Here is a 25,256-nt window from a genome sequence, read left to right on the forward strand (position 1 = left end):
GTTTAGTATAATTATTAATCTGTTGGAGTTTATGTTTACCATCTTATTGTTTTCTATTTGAACCATCTCTCAGTTTTATGGAAAGAGGCCTATGCACACATATTCACTTAGTATCTCTCACTAATACTTTAGCCACTTCCTCACAGAAGCCCACCCAACCTCAAGTCTAGATACGATTCCTTTTTGTAGTCATTTTTGTAGTATCGTCTTCTTTTTCCTAAGAGCACGTCGCTCAGTTATTTTGTGTGAATATTTAATTAATGTCTGTTTCTTCTTTTAGACTATAATTCGATGATGGTAGGACTTTTTTTATTATAAATAAATATTTGTAGCATTAAATTAATATGTAAATTCTGTAACTAATTCTACCTTTCTTTACAATCAAAGGTTAAATACAAACAACTTTCATAAATAATCTACCCATTTCCTTTATGTAGAAGCGCATCATCTCACTGAGGAACCACTATTATATTGAGTCTAAATTGTCCTACCATTGATCATGTCAAGCCCTCTCTTCAGGGACTTTGAGAGGCTTTGCAGTTTCCTGCAATAGTGGGCTCATTTCATCACATTTCCTGAGACAACCCTGTTTCTTGCACATCCACAGGGAGGGTGAATAGGACTGACCCAGTGCTCATTTATTGCAAATATTTTCCAGATTATTTGGTGCAAATTCCTCTTCTACAATATTCCATTGTCATTTTTAAGTGAACTCGTCAAAGCTAAGGGCTCTGACTCATGAATGTTCACTTTCTTCCTGGATTAAGTAGGCAGTCACAGTAAAAAATGTCTGATGACTCAAAGTTTCTATGAGTGTATTCAAGATTTTTTCTCTTTTGAAAAATCACTCTGAGTACAAGCGGAAGAAATAATGATGTGCTATGTGTCCTTCCTGACATCCCTACGTAAACGGTACACTCTTCAGGACTTTTATTCTTTCAGAAATATTCCAGCTTTTCAAGGTCCTTTGATCCATGTTTTAATTAAAGGAAAAAATTATTTCTTTTTATGCATGTACTTTAAGAAAGTTTATACCAATAATTCAAATTAAGCAGAATAAGTACCATGAAAATTAGAGAAAATCAAATCAGGCGAATAAACCTATTGCAAATTACCTGGAGGCTTGACTTGTCCTTGGGTCAAGTTGCATTGTATTAGAATAAATATAATCTGCTGAGTGTAAATGAAAACTCAGGGAATAGGGCAGCCTTATACAAATATCAACAGATATCTTACTCTGCTCACTACAGTCAACAGATTAAAAAATAGATCTTTATGGCACCAGGAGCTTAAAATTTGTGAAATAAATGTTTAGAAAATTTCATTATCTAACTCCTCGAAGAAAGCCCTTCTGCTGTATTTCAACTAGATACTGGACATCACAGCTTCTGGAGTCTATAGGATTTGTCCATGCCAAAAATATTTATGATTTACTTTTCCTCTGAAAGGCTATTGTTGCCATATTGTTGCACAATGGCTTTCTGAGACCAATCAACTTTCTCTAGGGCCCAGGAAGAGTAAAATCAATAGTACACCCCTCAATCATTATCTCAACTGATTTTTGATGGTACTTCTTCACTATACAGCAACCATTCTATTCCTGTGGTAACAAGTTTTTATATTAACACATTGAACACATTAGTTTCTTATCACAAACCCCTCCAACCCACAATAAACTAGGATTTTGATTTTCACATAACAGAACACATTTGCTCATTAAAGATGGAGCAAGGGCTCGGGGGAGAGAGAGAGAGAGAGAGTGAGAGAGAGTGAGAGATTGAGATTTTTCCCAAAGACAATTTAGTTCTTTTTCAAAAAGTAAACTACGGACTCCCACTCCTGTCCATGACAGAATGAATCTGACTAGACTTGCTCTCCCATAGTAAACAAGTAGGAAACCAAACAAAATATATAAAACAAACAATTGTTTTCAGAGACTGGACAACAGACAGTACAGGTGTGTGATTCTGAGGTAAGGGAAGCAAATGATATGATCCCTAAAATAACCTTGGCTTTCTACCTGGAGACATTTTCCAGACCACAATAAGGAAAAGAAATCCCAAGCAGAGAATGGTACTATCTCTGAATTAGGGAAATCGTTTCTGAGTTTGGAGAGGCTGAGACTACTAGAATTTGGGGGCAGAGTAAAAAAGGACAGAGCTACGCAGAGAAAAAGCTCCATAAATCTGCACCAGCGTGCCTATGAGTCTTTGTACATTTATAGGGTAAGGCTCTATAAGGAGGCTAAGCAGAAAATAATCACAATGGAAAGAATGACTAATAAGGAGATATTCATTCTAGAATTCTGAGAGCTAGAAGACATATGAGTTTTGACTAATAGGAATGGCGATACTCGAACTCCTGGGGTATTCAATGGAAGCTTCAAAAAGGTAACTTTTTTTAGTAGAGCTGGAGTGATCTAGAAAAAGGGTACTCAGGTTATATCCTAACATAACATGAAAAATGGAGGAAAAATGAGATGATTCACAAGTGACTTAATTACCAAAAACAATACTCAATACTCTTTAAAGAAAAATCATAAATCATAATATTGCAATGCCTAGGATTTCATAAAAATATTACTAGACATGTGAGAAAGCAGAAAATATGATTCAGAACAAAGAGAACAATCAACTGGTAGAAAAAAACCAGAAATGACAGAGAGAGTGGAATTGGAAGATATTAATTTTAAAATAACTAATATAAATATCTTAAAGGATTTAGAGGAAACTATTAATATAGTCAAGAGAACCTAGAAGATTAATAAAGACAGAAATGGAAAAATAGATAAACAAAACATATATTATCTGTAAAGAAAAATCCACTGAGAAATAAAGAATAGATAGATGTGGCAAAGGGAAAAAAAATCCAGAATAAAACATGAGCAGCAAAAGATTGAAACAAAAATAAACAGATCTTCAGGAACCTGTAGGAAAATGTTTGGCAATTTATTATGTATATAACTGGAGGATCAGAAGAGCAGAACAAAAAAAAGTTAAAAGAATAAATGCCACATTTTTGCAAATTTCATAAAAATTATAAACTCTCAAATCTGAGAAACCCAACACAACTCAAGCAGGATAAACATAAAGAAAACTATACTAAGGCCCATTATAATGTATTTCCATAACCAACAATAAAAAGGAAATCTTGAAGGTAGCAGAGTAGAAGCAAATACGACATACAAACAAAGATAATGACAAAGATATGACAAAGATAAAAATGACCACTGACTTCTCATTAGAAACAGTGAATTCTAGAAGACAATACAATGACATCTTTGAATTGCTGAAATAAAATTATCAACCTAGAATTCTACATCTAGTGACAATATTCTTTAAAGTGATGGTATTTGATTTTAGGTTAAGATTTCTGTGTGTGTCTGTGTGTGGGTACACACACAAATACATATATGTGTATATACACAAATGTATTTATATTTCTATAACAACATATGCATATATTTGTGCACATGCACACATACACATATACTCCATATATATGAAGAGAAGGATTGAATTGTAAAACAAATATGGTAAAGTTGTATTGTTTAGGGATTCTGAATGGTGTATAGAATTTTATTTACACTATTTTTGAAATTTTTTGTAAGTCTGAAATTATTTTAAAAATGAAAAGTTAAAAAACAGAATCAAAGACAAATTTCTGATGAACAAAAGCCTAGTGAATTTTTGGCCATGAGACATTCATTACATGAAATTACAAAAACGAACTTTTTTAGACTGAAAGAAAATGATGTCAGAGGACAACTTGGATATACACAAAACAATGACTTGGACCAGAAATAGAAATAATGGCAATGAAATAAAAAACAGGTGAACAATGTAAAAGTCAATGAAATGCCTGTAATCTCAGCACTTTGGGAGGCTGAGGCAAGTGGATCATGAGGTCAGGAGTTCAAGACCAGCCTGACCAACATAGTGAAACCCCATCTCTACTAAAAATACAAAAAAAAGCTTGGCATGGTGGTACATGCCTGTAATCCCAGCTACTCAGGAGGCCGAGGCAGGAGAATTGCTTGATCTGGGAGGCGGAGGTTGCAGTGGGCCAAGATCGCACCACTGCACTCCAGCCTGGGTGGCAGAGTGAAACTCTGTCTCAGAAAAAAGGCAAATAAAACTAAATGCTGGATTTCTGAAAAGATCAATAAAGTTGATAAAGTCTAGATAGACTGATCAAGGAAAAAACAAGAGAGAAAATACATCAATTACCAATATCAGGAATGGAAGAGGGGATACCACTACAAGTTTTACAGACAGTAAAAGCATAATAAGATAATAGTATAAACATTTAATCTCATTGGTTCTCATAATTTTTGATTTCACAGAATTTGTTCCTTTCATATAAGTTGTTGAACTTAATGGCAAAAGCTGGAAAGCCCAGGAGGCAGAGATTGGAGTGAGTGGACATTGCACCACTGCACTCCAGCCTGGGTGACAGGCAAGAGCTCATCTCAAAAATAAATAAATATTCCTTCTAATATTTATTTATATATGTTATATATATTTCTTCTAATATTTACATATATATCTAAATAAATAAATATTCCTTCTAGAAATAGAAGGAAACTTCCTCTAAATGATAAAGTGCATACATGAAACATCCATAGCTAACATAGCAGTGGAAGGTTGTTTAGGATTAAGAAAAAACAAGAATGTCAGCTTTCACTTCTTTTCAACATTTTTCTGGAGGTCCTAGCTCCAGCAGAATAAGGCAAGAAAATATAAGGTATACAGGCTGAAAGAGACAAAATAAAATTCTCCTTATTTTCAAGCAATAGAATATGTGTATAGAATATTCTAAGTAATATACATAAAGCTACTGGAATGAATAATTTATCACAATTTCAAAATGCAAAGTCAAACTACAAAATCAAATTATAATTCTATCTTTAAGCAAAAAATAATTGAAATATGAAACAACTGGATGTAAAGTTTTAAAATATTATTTAATATTTTCAATAATAATTTAACATTTAAAAAATATTCACCTCAAAACATCAAATATTTAGAAATAACTTTTAGTAATGAGATGTACAAGACCTATACACTGAAAACTACAAAACCTACCCGAGAAAATAAAAAAGAAATAAAGAGGCAATGAATTAAAAAATACATTGTTAGAATTTCAATTGTTCTCAAACTAATATGTAGATTTCAAAAAAGTCACAGTCAATATCTTTTCCTATAGTTCCTTTATAGACATTGTTATGGTGATACTTAAATTTCACACGTAAATGCAAATAACCTTAAAACTAAAGATAGGTTCTAGCAGCTTCTTAATTGCAGCTATCAAATATCAAAATTCCAATACTATCTGGATTGTGACTCAGAGCATGCTATGATGCTTATAAAGAGATAGATCAGTTATGCCATTTCCATCTATTATGGCCATAAATCTAATGCATAATTGGAATTTGAAGCTGTGGCATTTCCTCCACTGCTAATACAATTAAAATCTTGGAAGAATGTTCAAAACTTTAGTTTTTTTTTTCATAATAGAGACAGAATAGGAATGACAAGCAAATGGAAAGCATAATTTCAAGTCTGTCAGTCAGTATTTTAGGAAAACAGAAAATACGTCAGAAATTTTAAACAGAATGGAATTCAATACAGGGAATTAGAGCCTATGGAATTGTTGGAAAGACTGTGATAGTGTTCAGGGAAAGCCCCTGCTGGATTTCCTAAAAAAAAATTTCCGAAACACTGGGAAGTGGAAGAACTGAAGGAACTGTAGGAATCCACTGTTAATGATCATAGTAGAACCAAACTGGGTAATTTTTAGTAGGATGCTCAGAAACTTTCACACCTGCCCATTGCTGCCACAAGACCAATGATGGTTTCTACTTCTGTTTCTCTTCCCAACTATTGAGTAAGTGCTTTTTACGGAAGAAGTGTGACCAGCACTCTGCTGGTAATAGGGATTCTTGGAAATATAGTTTCAAAACTTCCAACTGCTGTAATATAGGAAAGAAGAGACTATCTGTCACAATAAGACATAGAAATAAGATATGTTGTTCATTTGATAAATATTTGTTAGTACATACTTACAATATGCAAGGGACTACTCTAGGCTGTGAGGGGAGACATTGACACCTGTCCTAAAATAAATTGCAACTTAGAGGCAAAAATAAGACTTGTACCTAAATACTACAGTTGAAGGAAGTATATGGTTAGTGCCACATCTGTAATGTAAACAAAGTGATAACAAAAGTAGAAAAGCATTTATGGAACTCTAAATTTCATGTTGTTCAATTAGTTGCCTAATATGTTTAATTAGCAATACTCTTAGTATTTACATTGCAAGAAGCATTTGCCATGAAGTAAATAAATCTCTGTTTATCTATTGCCAGTTGCATGCTTCCCTTAAGACAATTGAGCTATTGCTGGATGTTGAGTTTGTAGATTAACTGTAATTTAGTAGAACTCTCCTATTCCAGAGTCCAGATCTGAGTTATGCACATTGAGGCACTTAATTTTGTCAGTTCACTGAGGAATTAACATGTCCCAGGGTCTAAGTTATACTAAGCAACACTTAACAAACAAATGTGTACACCAGAAGGTCATGTTTTCATTTACCTTGGGAAGTCTGTCTAACCAGATAACTGGTTGTATAAATAGGGCAAAACTTTTTAATAGGGAGAGCTAGTACCCAGGGAGTCATTTTAAGACTACTCATTCCCTGGACTCAGTTGTATACTTGCTGAAGTGACAATTGTCTTAGTAGACAATACATACACTGAATAGACAGAGAAGGACCCTAAATCCTTGCTTTAGAGTAGTACAATGGAATACTGACAAATTCTTATTCAGAAACATACTTTCTACGCTCACACAAAACACTATATTTGTGTTTGTGACTGCCATCAGCATAGAATAATTTCCAGGGTTTCAGTCTATTGCATATTAGTTTTATTTTTGATTGGCATCTGCCTGGTGATATTTGGTAACACCCTGGTTTTGTTTATAAAACTTCTCCTATTGTGGGTTAACTCTGCAGATGGCTTATTGTATTAATTTTCTGTAGTTTCTTACTAGCTACAGTTTCAGAGGGTGATATGTCCAACAGGTGTCAAAATTTTAGAGTTGTGCCTCATTTGTCATTTAGAGATGCAGATATATTGACTGTAGTAAATACAGAGAGTTAAGAGTAGTAATTATAACCATAAATAGTGTCTGGATATTTTGGAGTTATTCTTAATAAAGGTTATAAAACATTTCAAAGCTGCTTTGTATTATTTTACAAATGGAACACACACTGCTTCTTAACAGTCATGCAGATGTAAAAAATTACTCTCATTATTCAAACAGAGACAAGTGACACCATATTGTAAAATGTTATTTTTATCTCGGCAAAGGGTTAGAAACAGTTTCATTCTGATCCCCAACCTTTTATTCTACTTAAACTCTCCGTTCATATGTAGTGATGTAGATAACTATTTTAAGTTACTAACAGTTTGTGATTTTTGTCCCTTTCGCTCTTTGCAATGATAATTGGCTAATTAGAGAGCTGATCATTCACAAAAAAAACACAGCCCTGTTGAGAAGCTGGCTTTAGATATGGAAATGTACTAATATATTAAAAAGGATAATTTTGAATGTGTTTTTCTCCTAAAATTCAAATGTTACTGCTTTTTCTTGTCTTTACTACTAAAAGGTCATCAATGACACATTTTAAATACACTAAAAAGTAAACTATGACTAATTTGTTTTATAAACCTTATACTTTAATGTTTGTTCACATTTTAAAAATGTGCCACTCTCATGTATTTATGCATAAAACCTTGGCTCAATCAACTATGACATTAACATTTGGTTTCATCTTTACATGTGGCCATTAGCACATTAAGTTTTAAGAATCATAGAATCTCCTTTAGATATTTTTATGGGAAAGGCACACTTACTCAAAGAGTATAGATTGAGAATATCCTTTTGCAAACTATGTATAGGATACTAAATAGAATTATGTTTCTTAGCCCATGGTTCTATGGTTGTATAAAAACAAAGGTTTGGCCAGGCGCGGCGGCTCATGCCTGTCCCAGCACTTTAGGGGGCTGAGGCAGACGGATCACGAGGTCAAGAGATCAAGACCATCCTGGCCAACATGGTGAAACCCTGTCTCTACTAAAAACACAAAAATTAGTTGGGTGTGGTGGTGTGCACCTGTAGTCCCAGCTACTCGGGAGGCTGAGGCAGGAGAATGGCATGAACCTGGGAGGCAGAGGTTGCAGTGAGCTGAGTTCGTGCCACTGCACTCCAGCCTGGGTGACAGAGTAAGACTCCGTCTCAAAAAAAAAAACAAACAAAAAACAAACAACAACAACAACAAAAAAGGTTTTTTTGTGTGTGTTTTTGTTTATAAACCAAAATCTACAATGAATCCAAGGTCTTTGAAGTTGATCACTCTGCAAATAATTTTTTCTGTTTATTAATTTCCTTCTCGTAACATTTTTACATGGGCATCTACTAATTTTAAGGCAATATTCATTTATTTTAAAAATTAGTCTATTATTTGTTATGTGCTTGCATTTTACAGATATTACCTCATTTGATCTTTGTATACACCTCATTAGATACTGACAGCTATTCAACAAATAAAGAAAAAGAGGCATAGAAAATTTGGATAACTTACTAAAGTCATTGAGACAACAGACAGCCAAGGTAGGAACTGAGCCTATGTCTGGTTCCAAAGTTTATGTTCTTAGTCACTTTGTTCTATAATCAAGCACAACTGTGGATCAGTTACTTTAATGGAAGACAAAAATAAATATGATATGCAATGGTACTTAGCTTAAGAAATATACTCTCATTTTGAAAAGGGTAACACATTTTTTGGTTTGCTTTAGGCAGGTCAGGATCAATGTTGCATTGATTTTAGTGCCTGAAATTGTAATGTCTCTTAGCTTTCTCTCCTTATATGTCCAAATAGAGCCCATTTTAAGAGATTTTTTAAAATAGGGGAATCAGCAGCCAAGTTGCATGACCCAACCATCTTGAAGACAATTTTTTAGACTGAAGTGAGCCTCTGACCCATGGCATCCTACATAAAGGCTGGTCACAGTCTAGAAGAGGTCTGGCTCAAAGGCTTATTCCATAGCAATGACAATAATGACTTAGGCCAATCATATAGTCTCTCTTGAGAAAGTCTGAATGAAGATGTGAAAAAAGAGATTGTCAGGTAGTGGCCTGAACAGGAATACCTAGTTTTGGGAGCAGAACCTAAAAGGTGACTAGGGAGAAGCAGAAAGAGAAGGCAACTAAGTCACACTTATAATGATGAACCTACAGGACACATCAACAAATTTCTGTTGCTGAGGCACCTTTAATTACAATCTGGTAACTAGAGTTGCTTAAAAGGGCAAGGACAATAGAGAAGAGAGAGGAGGATCAAGGATGCTAACAAAGAAGCAAGTTCATGAGTACTTGCCCATCTCTTCCTTTAATTCTCCTGAAGAATGTTTCCATCTTTTGAATTCAGCACACTGGGTTCAATTCCCAGCTGCATTACCTACTAACTTTGTTACCTTAAGCTAATCCTGTTTGAGACAATTTACCAATAAATACAATGGACAACACAGATATTATGTGATAGTTTCTGCCAAATGATAGGCCCGCTAGAAACATTACTTCAAAGTGCATGTAAAACAAGGAATTCTACACTGGGGCTCCTGTTCACCAGGAGGCTCTATTCCTGCTTATTCTGTCCTTCTTTCTCCTCCCTCATATCTTCCCTCATTTCTCTTTGTATTGACAATAGAGGTGAGCTCAGTCAAATTTCCCTCATTCCAATCCTCTTCTAAACTTCCCTGCAAGTCTTCTGTATTTTCATTCTATTTAAGACTATTCTCTTTTGAAAGGACTCTTAAATAGGAGAATGCCAGTAAACCTAATATGTTCCATATCTCCTTTTATTAGACTCCTAGTCATCTTTTAAGCTCATTTCCAAGAAGTTTTCTATAATTACTCCCATCAGCTTTATTCAGTATATCCACATTGTCCCTTATACCATAATTATTGGTGAGACACTGTCTTGTCACCCCATCAACATGGCACTCTCCTTGAAGGCAGAAACAGTATCTTACTTATTTTGCCTCTCTATAAGTATACAACACAGTGCCTGGCACATAGGAGTTCTTTAATAAATATCTGTGTTGAAATGCAAAGTGCTGAGCCATAGGAAAGGCTTTCCAAACACAGCAGTTACCAATTCCATAGGACAAGGAAGTACTTGAGCTGGTTTTGCTGATATCAGTCCTCCTGTCTTTTCTAGATGTGGGAGATTCATACTCATTGTGCATGTGTGGCTGCTTTGCCACAACCCCGGAGTACAGGTGCAGATATTAGCATTGAGCAGATTTGCACAAGCAAGAACTCTTCAATTTGTCATGAAAAGCTAGGATTCCAAGAAGGGAGGTGATAAGTTGAAAAATTAGGGGGAAATATGTTGTTAAGAAGAATCTGGCACACCCCTTCCCCACCTCCATATTAATGAAATGGAAAGGGTGGGGGAAGGAAATGTTATGCTCTACATTGGCAGGAAAATTGTGCGTGTCCTGCGAGCAGATGAACATGGGACTGTGAACAGGAAGCTGATTATTCCAACACATTATATTTCTCACTGGAAATATCATCCTGGAGGAAAAGTCCAACATCTCTACTTTTGGAGCACCTACGGCTCTAACTTTCTACATAATATTGGACTGAAGATAATGATGAAGGGTTTTTAAAATAGGATAGATAGATACTTGTTCCATGTGTGTATTCAGCCCAACACTAACCCCCATTTACCATTACCAACATTTCCTGGGAGCTCCCTCTTTTTAACTTTCTCTCCATTTCAGCTAGAGTAGCCGATTTTTACTCCTGCCCAAAGTGGAGCATCCCCTCTTTGCTACCATTAACCAGTGTCAGTCCACTCTCTAGTCACATTTGATTGCCCTCAAAGTAGGAAAGAAGCAGGAACTGAAGCAATTAGACCAATACGAATATAATTTTCTAAAACTGGGATTAAGATGGGAGAAGATTTGCTCTGCCGTGTAAGAATTGGGAGATTCCCTTTAGCCAAACTTTTCACACTATGAACCAGAGAAGCAGAAAAAGCTAAACTAGAACTGAAGTAATAATGAGTAAGAATGAAGTAGCTATAATGAGAGAAGAAAGATGGAGAGAGAGAGGGAGAGAATATTTGAATCCTTGGTTGCAAATCATTTCTAAAGATTATTTGTTTTCCATTGCTTGCCTTATGAGACACCCCCACACTCTTAAATATGTATCTTTCCCCCCTAAAGAGAACTGAAATTGTTTTCTGTTAAACAAAATTAAACAAGTCTTAAGTATTTCCATTTCAGATCACATCAGTTTCAGTCTGTCTGAAAATGACCACAGCAGCCCCCTCTCATCTTTAAAATGGAACAGTTCCTTGTCTACCCAGGATTAAAAACCTAATCAAAGTTAGCCTCAAATGCAACCCTCTAAAGATTATTAGAGCTGAACCATTAAAAAAAAAAGTCAAAGGTAACAGTTGCAAAGGTTTTTCAAAAAAATAATGTTTAATAAATCACAGAAGCAAAAAATATCGTGCAGTAAGTAAAAACAGCCACCTTCATCTATCAATAAAACAAGGTGGTTTTTAAAAATTCTACAACAGTAGCTTAAAAAAAAGATTTGTGTTTAAAGCTCTGCTGAGCAGTGGCCTCCCTAGTTTCCACGAGGGTGGTATTTTGAAAAAGGTAAGACACAGGTGTGCATCGTTTGAAATGGAATTTATTAACAGGTTGTATTATTTTACTCTGCCTCCATGGAACATCACAATGGACTGATAAGCTGCCACACTTCAGGCAGAGGGAGGCACATAAACAAAAGTTTTAAAATGAAAAAGCTGTGGGGCTAGGAACATACACAATATGCCCCATGCCAGCTGATTTATGCAGTAGGAAAGGAGAAAAGATGATCTTTTCTTAATTTCAGTGCATTTTCAGTGTGATAGAGCACTGAATTCAGTCACTAACCCCATTAAATTACTTGGCAAGGGCTGGACCCTATTTTTCTTTGGAAAAAAGGTGCCAGGGCAATAAGACAATTTGCAGTTCTGGGTTTCTAATATACAATATTCTGACCATTTAAAACAGTTTTTGTAGGAAATATTTTATAGTTAGAGAAATAGTTTTTGACATTTTGGGGGGAAAAGAACAATGGGCCGTTTACAGGTCTACACAGCAGATTAATGAATCTAATTGAGTCTGTAGGGAAATGTTTCAGTTTAACTACTGGAACTAATTTATACATTCACTACATCGTAATAAGTCAATTTAAGTTTCTGGAAATAAAACTGGATATCCTGGGTATAGATTTGAACTATAAATTTCTGCAAGAAAGGAGTCTGTGTGTTCATTATACATTGTAAAATTACCATATGGACCTGTCAACACTTCTTAGCACAGCTTTGTAATAATGTCATTTAGTTTAACATTGTAATGTGCCAACTGAATTAATGTGTATGACACAAAGCATGCCTCCCTCTCAACCTCTGCTTCTGGGGAGCTGTGCAACTTTTAAAGATTTTTCTCAAGGCAAGAACCTCCTGCATTTGCATAGAGAACTTCAAGATGATGATTGAGTGTAATCACATTTACTGTGAGCTGCTGAAAAACAAGCTACAGGGCTCTGATGCCTAAGCTTTCCAAAAATATGCAAGCTCTACAAATGGGAATAAATCTCTACCTGAGAAACCTTACTTTACAACCAACACTAACCTACAATTAGTTAGCAATAGCTTCTTTAATCATCTTTTTTAATTGTGGAAAACCCCTTAAGATGGAGAGTTGATAAAATGCTCTACACATAATAATACTTGGTGTTACCATATTACTCAAAACTCTGTCCTCAATCTGGATATTTATAACATGAATATGGCAATATCTTTCATCCAGATATTAATAGAACATGACATAATATAACTCTGAAAAGAAATATAGGAAAGAAAGGAAAATAGGAAATTAGAAAAATGATCCCTAATATTAACCATGTATAATATCATTTACATGTATAATCTAACATAATTCTCATAATCCATTTTATATGGTCTTTCTTTATATTATTAATATAGAATTGAGTTGGGTTGGGTTTTTAAAACATTCTTTCTCAGAAACAGAAAACAGTAAATAAGCATAATTTCTGGAAAAATAGACAGCAATTTACAGGATTTTTGTAAAGGTAAGTTCTCTGTTAATTAGCACTCCCAAATTTTGATGCAACTTGCCTAATAGTTACATATGTCTATTTTATCTTTTTCCTATAAAAAAAGCACATAGCTGTCAAACTGAATGAATGGCAGAGGATCCACAAAATTTGTCAAAGAATTTTTCAAGACAGTTGTGTAGAGGACAAGCCTAAATAGTTAAGATTGGTATGGGTGGTAAGGGGTGTGGCCGGGGGGGAGCACTACTGCTTTTTGCTTTTCTTACAACTTTCACCATAGCCACAGTCAATGGAGCCGATCAAGACTTCAAGCCAGCAAAATACACATCTAACTTCAGGGCCTTTGAACTTTCGTCATGGGCCTTGGCTGGTCCCTTTCAAGGTATTAATCAACAATTACAGCCTAATTTAGATCATGGAGACTACAACTAGGGCATAGAGCAGTAGAACAAGTGAGGAGCCCAAACCAAGTACACGGAGCACCACAGCAAGAAAACTGAAGTTCAAATTTCTACTCTAAATTGTAGAAACACAGAGGAAAGAGAAATAACAGGCTGAGTGCATGCTTGGTGTGGAGTTCAAGCAGAGGTTTCTGAGATTTCTGTGAAGAAGTCAAACTTCCTTGGTCATTTCATATTTGGTGTTTGTATGTGTCAAGCTAGTTTATAGGTTCAAATCTGAGGCAAAGAGCATTTCTCTACTTATTTGATGTATTTTCTTCTCAGGATACAGTGTGGTATCCTGTTTATTCAGGACCTTCTGTAGTTTCTCTCCCTATCAGGTATGATTTCTTCAGGGAGCACTTGGACCTTTTCTAAAACTCATCTCTATCAAAGACTTACAACAGATTCCTTTACTTAGAGTTTAACTGTGCACAATGACAGCTAGCTAATCAGATAAACATCTGTACTAGTGCATTCATAAATGCTTACATGATAGTGTATTGCTCTTCTAAGGGATACATAATTTTTTAATGTTACTGTCTTAATCCAAACAATGGTTAGGAACAAACTTTCATACAAATGAGGACTTATGAAGCTCTTACGGTCATATAAAGGAGAAAAAATCCAGTATCTCACTAAGATTTGTCATGAAGCATACTACGTTTCTACATGATATTTATATGCGAAATAAAATCCTAAAAGTCAGTATGTCCTATTCAGATCCCTGCTCTGCCACTTACTATTGATCAAACTTTAATTATACAACCTCTCTACATCTCAGTTTTTTCATACATACAAGTGGCATAGTAATAATAGCTACATTATATGGTTGTTGTGAAGATAAAATTAGTCAAGTAATTTAATTAACTGGAAAAGCACTGGTTCTAGATAAGTGTTAGTAATTATCATTATTATGGGTAGAGAGTATGGTATATTGGTTAAGGACTCTGGCTCTGGCATTAGACATCTATGTTCAACTCCAAGTTTTTGCTACATATAGGAGGTTGGAGAAACTATTCAGTCTCTCTATATCTCAGTTTCTACATCGGCCAAATGGCTTATGAGAATTGTAAAGGTAAGAAAGACTGGATGACGCCATTTAATCTGCCTTAAGTGACGTAGAAAAAGATATGATCGTATACTATTGGGGTGATAATTTATGGCCTCGGAGGAGGTAAAAGGGCATATTGCACAGTCTACTTGTGAGCAATCACTTTGCTGAGCCCACAGTGATGATGTCAAGTTGAGGCCAAACTCAAGTTAGCCAAGTGAACCTCACTTAGCCAAGTTAACTCTGTGGGTCAGGTCTATTCCTCATATATTCACAAGAGAGAACACCAGCAGTGATCTGCAAATGCTGCAAATAATACCTGAGGAGTGAAAATAGTACCATAACAATGTTTTGCGGTTGCCTTCTGTTTCTATGTTCTGGGCCATCTCTCTCATTGGCTTTAAAGAAAGAGAAGTGTGGAAAGATTGCACAACACCACCACCACTAAACTGAAACAAATATAATTTCTAGCAAAGTTGAATTTCCACATGATCATGTTTAAAAATCACAAAAGTAAGTCTGGGTCTAAAAAAGTACTTGAGCAATTTACCCCATTTGAGAACTCTCTAGGTTTGAAATCTCATATTGAAGCGTGACTGCTGTGGCTTGGTTTTCCACATTTATCAGTGTGGGGGCACTGGCCATGATTCTTCTTTCCTTTGTCCTCCCCAGGCATTGGCACAGTCTTTGGACATGAAAATCATGGAGAAGGAAGAGGCTGATTGTTATCCATGATTAGGCAGTGCAGATATAGCTCAATATTCCAAATGGGATGTTTTGGCCTTGGAGTTAAGTTCCAAGAGCATTATAAAATAATCACCTGTATAGGAAGTCCTGACTTAACTCTATTAACAACTTCGTAAGTATAAGAACAATTATCGTACTATTTCATTTTGATAAATTTGTATTCTATTTTTAGCATTTTATAAGACATACATCTCTTTTGTTTTCTGATAATGATAAATGGAGATAAAAGTAAAGAATCATTTTCCTTCTCTTGATTACATTTGCACTTTCCCATTCCAACTTCTCCTACTCCTGACTACACCTGTCTTCAATATACGCCTAGCTTTTTCCTTTAACCAAATGTAATTTGTTCAAATTGTCCTTTACAAACTTTAAGAAAGCCTATTTGGTATATATGAGGCAACGCAAGGCTTTAAAATACTTAGCATTTCTATGATACAGCTCATTTTCAATGCACTTTAAAAATATTAGCTAATTAATTAATTAGTTCCTGATTACAAGGTGGCAGAAGTTCAAGGAGAAAATTGACACATTTCTCTACCTTTATAAAGAAAACTTGTTTATATAAGAGAATATCATTTCTTTTTTGAGTAATATGTACTGTTGTAAAAAATGTTGTGTTTTTGCTAGAACTAGGTATAATAATCATTAAAAATGAATAACAGTAATAATACTAGTATAAATACAACAATATTTTTCAAGGTGGATACATATTTGTTAGACTCTGCTCCTTAAGAACAGGAGCTGTCTTGTTCTCCTTTGTGGCTTGGCACCTAACAGTCCCTGGCCTGGAAAATATAAATACACTAATTTATAGGAGATGAAATCTAATTTGTAAGCTTTGTTTCATACAATGATAAACAATATAAGAACCAATGCAAAACAGCATTACTCCACATAAAAAGGAAAGCAAGGAACACAACAGTGTGGTTAATTTTCTAATCACAAAGTTATGTCTACATGCCATTAATCCTCAGGAAGCAAACTGAAAAAAAATTACCAAATTTGAGCATAATTTGTGTGTAAAAAGAGAATAGATTTCGCTTTTGATGTCATTTCATACAAGGAGCAATCAAGTTCATTCAAACATAGGTTCAAATATATTTTCTTAAAATAGTTACCCTAATATTGTAACAGTTGAATTGGTTGAAAGTGTAATTCCTCCTTATCCATCTGATGTCAAATAGCTAGATATTTCAAATTGACCTTTTAGTTTTACACATGAGTTCCTGATTTGAGATAAACACAAAACTAGGCTGCCTGTACACATAAACAGTGTAATTTCTTTTGATAGCCAAATCCTGTATTTAACAACAAAGACAAAGTGATGGATATATTTTTAAAATTTAGAGATAACATCATAATTTTATACAGTAAGTCATAATCCAAGATATGTGATTTCTATTTGGGAAGACAAAGTTCTGCTTATCCTCTCTTACTGAGCAAAACCAAACAACTGATAATTTATTCTGGCATATAATAGCTAAGAAATATAAGCACACGGATTGCAAAAGCTATCCAAAAATTTGAATTTATAAGCTTACCTATAGGCATTTCTTTTTTTCACACAAGGAGAAAAATAGATGTTAAATCCAGCAGTGGCTATTAAGATATTTTTTTGCTCTCTGAACTCTTTGAAAAGATGATAAAAATTTCTAAAACTTTTCTTCAGATAAAATTATATAAAAATAATACGAATACAACATTTTGCACTTTATTTCAGGAAAGTCACATACCTGAAGATGATCCTGCATGTCCATAGAGCCTAGGTCCCTCAAAAGATGGTGTTGCAATGACAGAAATTGAGACATCAAGAGAACGTTTAGCAGAATAAGTTAGTTAAGATGTAGGTGTGTCGAAAGTTTCAGGTGTCAGTAAACATCAAAAGAAAATGTAGCAGTAGCTAGAAATTTCCAGGCTGAAGATGAAGGTTAAAGCTAAAGATAGACTATTTTTGTCATCTACATGGAAGATGATGGCTAAAGCTATAAGAGTGAATGACATCAGCAAGGAAGAAAATACAGGAATAAGGAAGAAGAGATGGTGAAATGGCTACTCGTAAGGAGTGGGAGAAAGAATAAATGAGAAGAAAATGAAGAATGTGTGGCCAAGAACATAGGAGAAAAGCCAGGAAGATCAATGTCTTATCAACAGACAGATTTGAGCAGCAGGTACTCAACAGAGCTTAAGAAAAACAAATATTGAGAACAGAGTAAGGACTATTTCATTTGGTGAACAGGAGATTTCTATTGAACTAGAATAGCTAGGTAACTACATTTTCATGGGTTAAGAAGAGAAGAGGAGAAAGAACAGTGAGGAAGAGAACCCATTGTATTATTGAGGAATTTTGAAGTCAAATAAAAAAGAGATGTGAGTGGAATGACATAATTCTAGAGATAAGTGAAGCTGGAGAATGTTACATGCTTGGAAGGAAGGAGTGAGTCTTAGAAATTAAGGGAGCAAGTTCCTTCAAGACAGATGAAACGTAATGAGCAACAGAATGAACTAGATATGATAATGATGCAAAACTCTTCTTTGTTACATACAGGCTGGGAGAAGGGTCCACACAAAAATTCTGAGATGGAGATGATGGCTAAAGTTAGAGTTCACATTGGATGACTTTGAACTCAGTAAACTAGGTGAATTTGCCAGAAGATATGAAGCTGTGGGAACTTGGAAGCCCAGGACACTATGATATTGATTACAGGGAAATAGTTCAAAAATATCACAAGATTACAAGCAGCTGTAAGTGTCTTGACTAGCGAAAGACCTTGGATTTGTAGAGCATCAGTCTATGTATGTCTACAACAATATTCATCAATTTTATTAATCCAAGACTGGGTATTAGAACAGGCAGGGAGTTAGGAGAACTTGGTATTGACAGGGGCAATGTCAGTCAGCAACATGGCAGCATGCAAAGAACTTTGGTCTGTGAGATCAGGAATCTAGGTTCTGGGTTCATTCATTACATTGTCCTAGGCTAATAACTTTCTTCTTTCACTCTTATGTCTTCATTTGTAAACTGGAGATGCTAGACTATGTAATTTCAAATATGGTTTCAAATGGAAAGAAAATCTTATTCTTGAGGCAAAGTAGAGTTGCAGAAAGAGCAACATCTTTGTGGTCAGGCTTTACTCTCTACTTCTGCCACTTTATCGCCTGTGACCTTGAGAAAGTTACTTCTTTGCACCTCAGTTTCCTCATCCATAAAATGGTGAAAAGAGTAAGTTATGGGGAAATGTTAAAGATAAAATTTGAATAGTAGTCATCAATAATTGCAATAATTGTTTATTTGATTATATTGATTTGATTTTTTTTTTTTTTTTTTTGAGACAGAGTCTCGCTCTGTTGCCAGGCTGGAGTGCAGTGGCACAATCTTGGCTCACTGCAACCTCCACCTCCCAGATTCAAGCGATTCTCCCGCCTCAGCCTCCTGAGTAGCTGGGACTACAGGTGCATGCTACCACGCCCAGCTAACTTCTGTATTTTTAGTAGAGACGGGTTTTCACAATGTTGGGCAGGATGGTCTCGATCTCTTGACCTTGTGATCTGCCCGCCTTGGCCTCTCAAAGTGCTGGGAATACAGGTGTGAGCCACCATGCCTGGCCCTGATTTGATCTTCCTAAAGCCATATACTTTAACCATAATTTAATGTTTCTTGATGACTTACAATCATCAAGTACAAAGGATGATTAATGCTATAACATTGTGACATTCTTGTGCCCAGATTGCTTACACACTTATTGAGCCCAAGAATCTTCTTTGTGCAAGTTGTCAAATTATCATTGTACTATAATCAATATGTCTGTAATCTGCTAAGATCTTGGAGAGTAGACAACTAAATCATATAATATGTACATTAAATAAAAGTAGGTGCTTATGGAGGCCACGAGTATTAGGTGTGCATAGCTATTTTGACTTCTAAGAAACTTTCTTTGCTTACTTTCAGATTCTGAAATGTGATCCAATAAGTAGGACACTGAATAAACACTCTAAAAAGAGATAAAGTCATATTCAAACACAAAAACTGTCAACATACAGTGATTGTGTGTAAGATTGGTGGAAGAGAGTTCACTGACTCTAACAGACCCTAATACTGCATTGAGTACCTCTGTAAATTTTCATTCTATTTTTATGAGTGAGGAACGGTGAGAAAATGGTATGACAATGAGGAGTTGAAAATGGAAAAGAAGATTTTATTTTCTACTAATTATATATTGTCTATGATCTCACATTTAAAAATATGCATTGGCTTAGTCAATAATTGACCCTGGGGTTGATTTGTTTTTGGAACAAGTCTCAGCAAAGTCCCTTAAAAAGTAAGATAAATAAGCAATGTTTATACAGCTTTAATTATGTTAATCATTTTAGGACTGAATTCACAAACTGTCAGGGAACAGCAAGAGAGTGAGCAGACCACTTTTCCTCCGACCTTCCCTTTTCCTATCTGATTGCTGTCTCCCATATATTCTTTTCCTGAGGCATCTGAAATTGCTGATTTAGGTGGAGTAGAAGATTTAACAAAGCTAATTGCTTCTGTTGTTAGACAGACAGACATGTATCTATTACATTCACTATATTAGAACTACGAATTGCTTTAAAAAGTCAACAGAAATAAACATAAAAAGTGTCTCTAACCCTTTCTACTTTTAATAGAGGTACTTCCATAGTTGTAGGGAAGTTTGTACCTGCGAGTACAAAACAGAGAATGAATCTGAATGATGTGGTCTGACTGCTAATGTTTACAAGCTGAAGAGGAGATGCTGTGAGATTTCCCTGTGGATGCAGTCTTGAGAAAAGGACTAGCGAAATTACTACAATCCTAGCACGCTGAATTAGTTGAACAGGCTAATCCTCACAAATGGATAGGATTTAAGATATGATTGTGAGATTGTTATCCAATTGCATAAATCTATGTATAAATGCAGGTTCAGATTTATAGACACTGAATATAACAGAAAAAGACATAGATATTTTCATCTAGGAACTTTTATGTACATTTTAAATCATTGTTTAGTATATATTTCTCTCAATAGAAGTAGCATGCTGAAATGGAAGAATTTGTTGCAATAAAATACAAAGCCAAGCTATTATATTACTAGCTCAATAGCACAATGCCTTAGATATTTAAATTTGTGCAGAGGGAGTTAGTTATATATAAAACTCTTTGGCCAAACCCGCCACATATACAGTTGGGAGGACACCAGTTAAGTATGGGTGAATAGAGAAGTTTAGAATCTTGCATTAAAAAAAACTTCCTTACAAAATGTGCACACGAGAATCACTAAAATTTCAAGGATCCTTTTTACTTAAATAAAAGATGCAAAAGGTATTGTGGTAGTAAGTGTGCATCTGTTCACCCTTAGAACAGAATTTCAAATACTTAGTGTTTTGAAAAATTCCTTTGCCAACCTACTTTATTACCCCATGTAAATGAATCATTTGATTTTCTGTGTAAATTGCTTGTAAACTTGCTTTCCATTTAATTATAATTCAAGACAGTTTAGAACACACACATACACATACACATATGTACACATACACACATACACACACACCTGGGTTAGAGAATCTGAGCATTTAAGAGCTATAAGGAAATTTTGAGATGTTTGGTCGAAATCCAGCCTCAAGTTAGCAGACGTGAAACTGGGATCACAGAATCTGAGTCCTTGTCCCAATTCACAGTGCACAAAATCTGGCAAGAACTTTGACGTTCAGGTTCATAGTCACCTTTCTATCCTATCACCCTCCTTTATCATTTCACAACTATTGTCTGTGTTTCACCTTTTGGCTTGGTATTATGCCAGCATGCATTCCCTTCTCCTATACCTAGAGAGGGTCATGGCGATTTCCCATATTTCCTCCAACACAGCAAACAGACTAAACACATATGGTCCAAAGTCCAACCTCATGGTGTCAGTCTAGGCCTTATTTCTTCAGATGATTCTCTTCTCAGATGAAAATCACTCACTGGTTACAAAATCAATGTTGTAAAAAATGAACTATTTTTTTCGTGACATATCTGTTTTGATCACATTCCCAACGGATCCATAAAATAACACAAAATAACATCACATGCACTACTTTTGAAGTCTGTACTGAGTTACTGGTCTGAAACATTATCAATTGCACTGTGGTATGCATACAGAGCTTCCGGCAGAGTGTGTATCCAGTGAGTCATTTGAGAAATGGGGTGTCTCTGCCAGGCATTCTTTTAGTAGCCCATGTAAGATGTTACTGAAGAGCTGGAGAGAAGAGGGAGCCACTCTACCTCATCATTCACACTGAACCTAAATGAAGAGATCTTAGATTAGACTCACCTCCATCTTTCATATTAATCTAGGGTAAATATTGAAATAAATCATTCTGTTTCTTTAGTCCTAATTTATCTTTTCCTAGGAAAAGAAGAAGAATCTAGCACTGTAAAATACACCTGGGATCTTACCTGAGATAAAACTACAAACTATAGTAGGCTAACATAGTCAAGACTTTATATTTCCAAAACACTTTAAAATATATTATCTCATTTAGACTATATTCAAATATTTAACCTCATATGTCTCTATTTGGGAACTGTGAAAAATAAGGCCTAAGGAGATATTTTTTTTTCCAGGCCACAAATCTAACAAATGTTCTATTTGTTATTTTTATTTTTAGCTATTATTTTCAGTCTTAAATTTCCTGGTACTATACAGTGCTGACAGTTTTTAGACTGTATGAAGAATATGGCATCCCCAATTAGGGACTATTATGGCTCAACAGAAAGGGTATATATACCTTGGAAAGGGCCAAAAGCTCATATGAATGCTTTGTCACTAGCATGCATCTATCTTGTGCCAAGAGATCTTTTTCTAGTTATCCTCTAGGGTATTAAATGTTTAAATGTTTTCTGCAGCCACCCTGTTCTCTAGATCCCATGTATTGAAAGACTTACAGGTCCCTAGGAGAATATTTTGTGAAGGTCTTAAAGAAAGCTACATTTGCCTTCCTTTTCTACTTGTGAGCCTTTTTGATTAAAACTCCTCCCTTACTGATGTCATCCAGATCAGCTCAAGGAAAACATTTGACAGGTCCATCTGTGTCCACAGTCACCCACAAACATGGGAAACTGCCACCCATCTGCCTCCCTATGCTTTGTTTTGCTCCTGTCCTGGTTATTTTGTTCTCTTGTAGCTACAGGGGATATTAATACCCTCCTGTCTTCCAGAAATGTGAAGAGAATGGATCTATGTTAGCTTGTGCTCCTGAGAGAAAGATGTTATAGAAATAGCATATGCTATCACACTGTTATTTACACGCAATTCTACAAGTTTTCTAGTAACATCCTCACATTTTAATGAACATGTTTCTTAACTTCCTACCTGGATTCACTATTAATCATTTCAATGTAATTATGGCTCATCAATTATTCTGCGTTTCCCAAATAGATTGTTTACTCTTAATGACAGAAATGTTATAAATTTAGGGACACTTTTTGGATTCAATTACTTTCTTGTCTATTGCCTGCATTTTATGATGTCATTCACTAATGTTGCCAAGAGTTGAATATTTGCATTAGTTCCTTTTTTATTTTGAATAACAACATACACTTTTTGGTAAAACAACACCAGGATGATTTCAAATCAGGGAAAATGCAAATCAGAGGCTTAAAGATGTGAAGCAATCCAAATATTTTCTTAATCACATTCCTGGGGCATTGTATGAAATTCCAATAGCAATCAATGATCTTATGATTCAAACAATCCTATAAATATGATAAGAATTCATAATAGCTGTCAAAATTCAAAACAAAACAAATATGTCAGTGAATTTCAAAAAGGATTATTTGAGTCAATTTTAATCATTGCTTTTTTATAAAGACATATTATTTGAAACCGATATGTACAGATTAGAGCTCAGTGTACAAATTTACAGCCATGTCACATGAATTTAAAATCTTTTAAGATACACACATCGCAAGGACAAAAAACCAAACACTGCATGTTCTCACTCATAGGTGGGAATTGAACAATGAGAACACATGGACACAGGAAGGGGAACATCACACTCTGGGTACTGTTGCGGGGTGGGGGGAGTGGGGAGGGATAGCATTAGGAGATACACCTAATGCTAAATGACGAGTTAATGGGTGCAGCACACCAGCATGGCACATGTATACATATGTAACTAACCTGCACATTGTGCACATGTACCCTAAAACTTAAAGTATAATAATAATAAAATAAAAAAAGATACACACATCCACCATTGTCATGTAGCTTTCAAATAATGCAAAGAACTAACTTACTATTTACTTGCCATTGCCTCTGATTCATTTTCCTCAGTAGGTAATACCACTCCTACCGTAAGTATATGTAAGAAATGCTAGATTACGATAGTCAAAAATAACTTTGCTTAGTTAAAGACTTTATCTTCATTTTCAAAATGTGCGGCTTTTCCTCAAAGATTGATTGCATGTTGTGATTTATTTCCTGGTGCTCAAAAAGATTCAAAGAACTTTAAATCTCTAAACATATTTTTGAATATACCATCAATTTAATATCTGTGGCTAATACAAACCTCATTTTGTTCAAACAAAGGTTACTGTACATAGTATCTGAAATGACTTGATATATTTTCCATTCTTTCATTAAGTAACTAATCTTCAGGTTAAAAAATGTTCTTTTAAATGAGATAAACCTCAGTTAATATTTTAGAAGGCAAATTGTTGTTATGATTATTGATTCTTTCCTTGTTTTATGTGGAAACAAATTAGAGATGCTCAAAATTCTCATTTTTTAAATTTCAGGAGAATGTGTACATAATTAAATATATTTCTGTGTAAATGCAATAGCACCCTCTGGAGGTCTGAAACACTTTGCATAACTTCCATAAATCAATGTCTTCTTTTGTTATCTCCACATATTTTTGTTGGCTTAGACTTTTAATATTTTACATTCTGATAATCATATTTGTCTCATAAAGTGATTAAATACATTTAATCTATTATTACTTTCTATTTATTATGCATTCATTGTGATTTGTGTGTCATCTCATTTGTAATGCTGCAATGTAATAACAAAATAAACAATTCAGCTGACCTTGGTGATGTCTCTATAACGTTCCTATTTTTTATCATGCAAAAATATTTTCCAAACAAGAAATAACAAGTTACATTTCCGAAATCCCTTAGTATCTGGTTATATGTAGACAACAGGAAACTAATTTTACCTCCTTTGAAGATTCCTCATGAAAACAGTTACTTTCATTCTTCATGCCCCTGATGAACAAACACAGCTGTGGTTTTTCTGTGGTTTTGAAGCTAATTTATCAGAGATGGGAGAATTTGAAAAGGAGCAGAGGTCAGAAAACATCGGAAAAAATATCTTGAGTCACTGGAACACATTCAAGGACCAAAGTGACTTCTATTGTGCCATAATAATATAAATAAATGATCCCATAATCATTTGCCTCTCTGCAACAGCTCTGCATACAAAGGTCTTTTTGAAGTTCAGGGAGATCCAAACAGAGCTGTTCATCTACTATAAAAAAAGGGGATGAGCATATGACTAATATTGGGTAAGAGGAAATAATGTCATTTGATTCTGAATGAAGCCAAGGCTGCCCTCTCCCTGAAGGTTGTTCAAGAGAACACAGCTAGTTTGTGAGATATTGGAGTGGGACTGAATTCTTTTTTTTTTTTTTTTTTTTTTTTTTTTTTGAGATGGAGTCTTGCTCTGTCACCCAGGCTGGAGTGCAGTGGCGTGATCTCAGCTCACTGCAACTTCCGCCTCCCAGGTTCAAGCAATTCTCCTGCCTCAG

General features: G+C 35.0%; 2 long non-coding RNA genes across 4 annotated transcripts in view, besides 1 other annotated feature; one reads left to right on the forward strand and one right to left on the reverse strand.

The window, feature by feature from the left end:
• Nucleotides 1-24,735, reverse strand: part of LOC105373710 (uncharacterized) — an 87,864-nt gene extending 63,129 nt beyond the window's left edge. For both annotated transcript variants that reach the window (XR_923510.3, XR_923509.3), the window contains exon 1: nucleotides 24,666-24,735. This is a non-coding gene — a long non-coding RNA (uncharacterized LOC105373710). The remainder of the gene's footprint in view (nucleotides 1-24,665) is intronic.
• Nucleotides 1,750-24,539, forward strand: LOC105373709 (uncharacterized). 2 transcript variants are annotated; one of them, XR_923507.3, is made up of 5 exons: nucleotides 1,751-2,390; nucleotides 8,554-8,678; nucleotides 15,381-15,567; nucleotides 17,179-17,626; nucleotides 18,004-18,197. It is a non-coding gene; the product is annotated as an uncharacterized LOC105373709 (long non-coding RNA). The 2 variants fall into 2 exon arrangements; XR_001739755.2 differs by having other exon boundaries at nucleotides 1,750-2,390; nucleotides 8,591-8,678; nucleotides 17,179-24,539.
• Nucleotides 11,758-12,687: an enhancer, noted in NCBI's record as "VISTA enhancer hs415". NCBI's record gives its function as "enhancer in: limb[6/10]" and the evidence as "EXISTENCE:transgenic organism evidence [ECO:0001131][PMID:17130149]".
• Nucleotides 24,736-25,256: the final 521 nt, after the last annotated feature.

This window comes from Homo sapiens, chromosome 2, assembly GCF_000001405.40.
Source record: "Homo sapiens chromosome 2, GRCh38.p14 Primary Assembly".
NCBI lineage: Eukaryota > Metazoa > Chordata > Mammalia > Primates > Hominidae > Homo > Homo sapiens.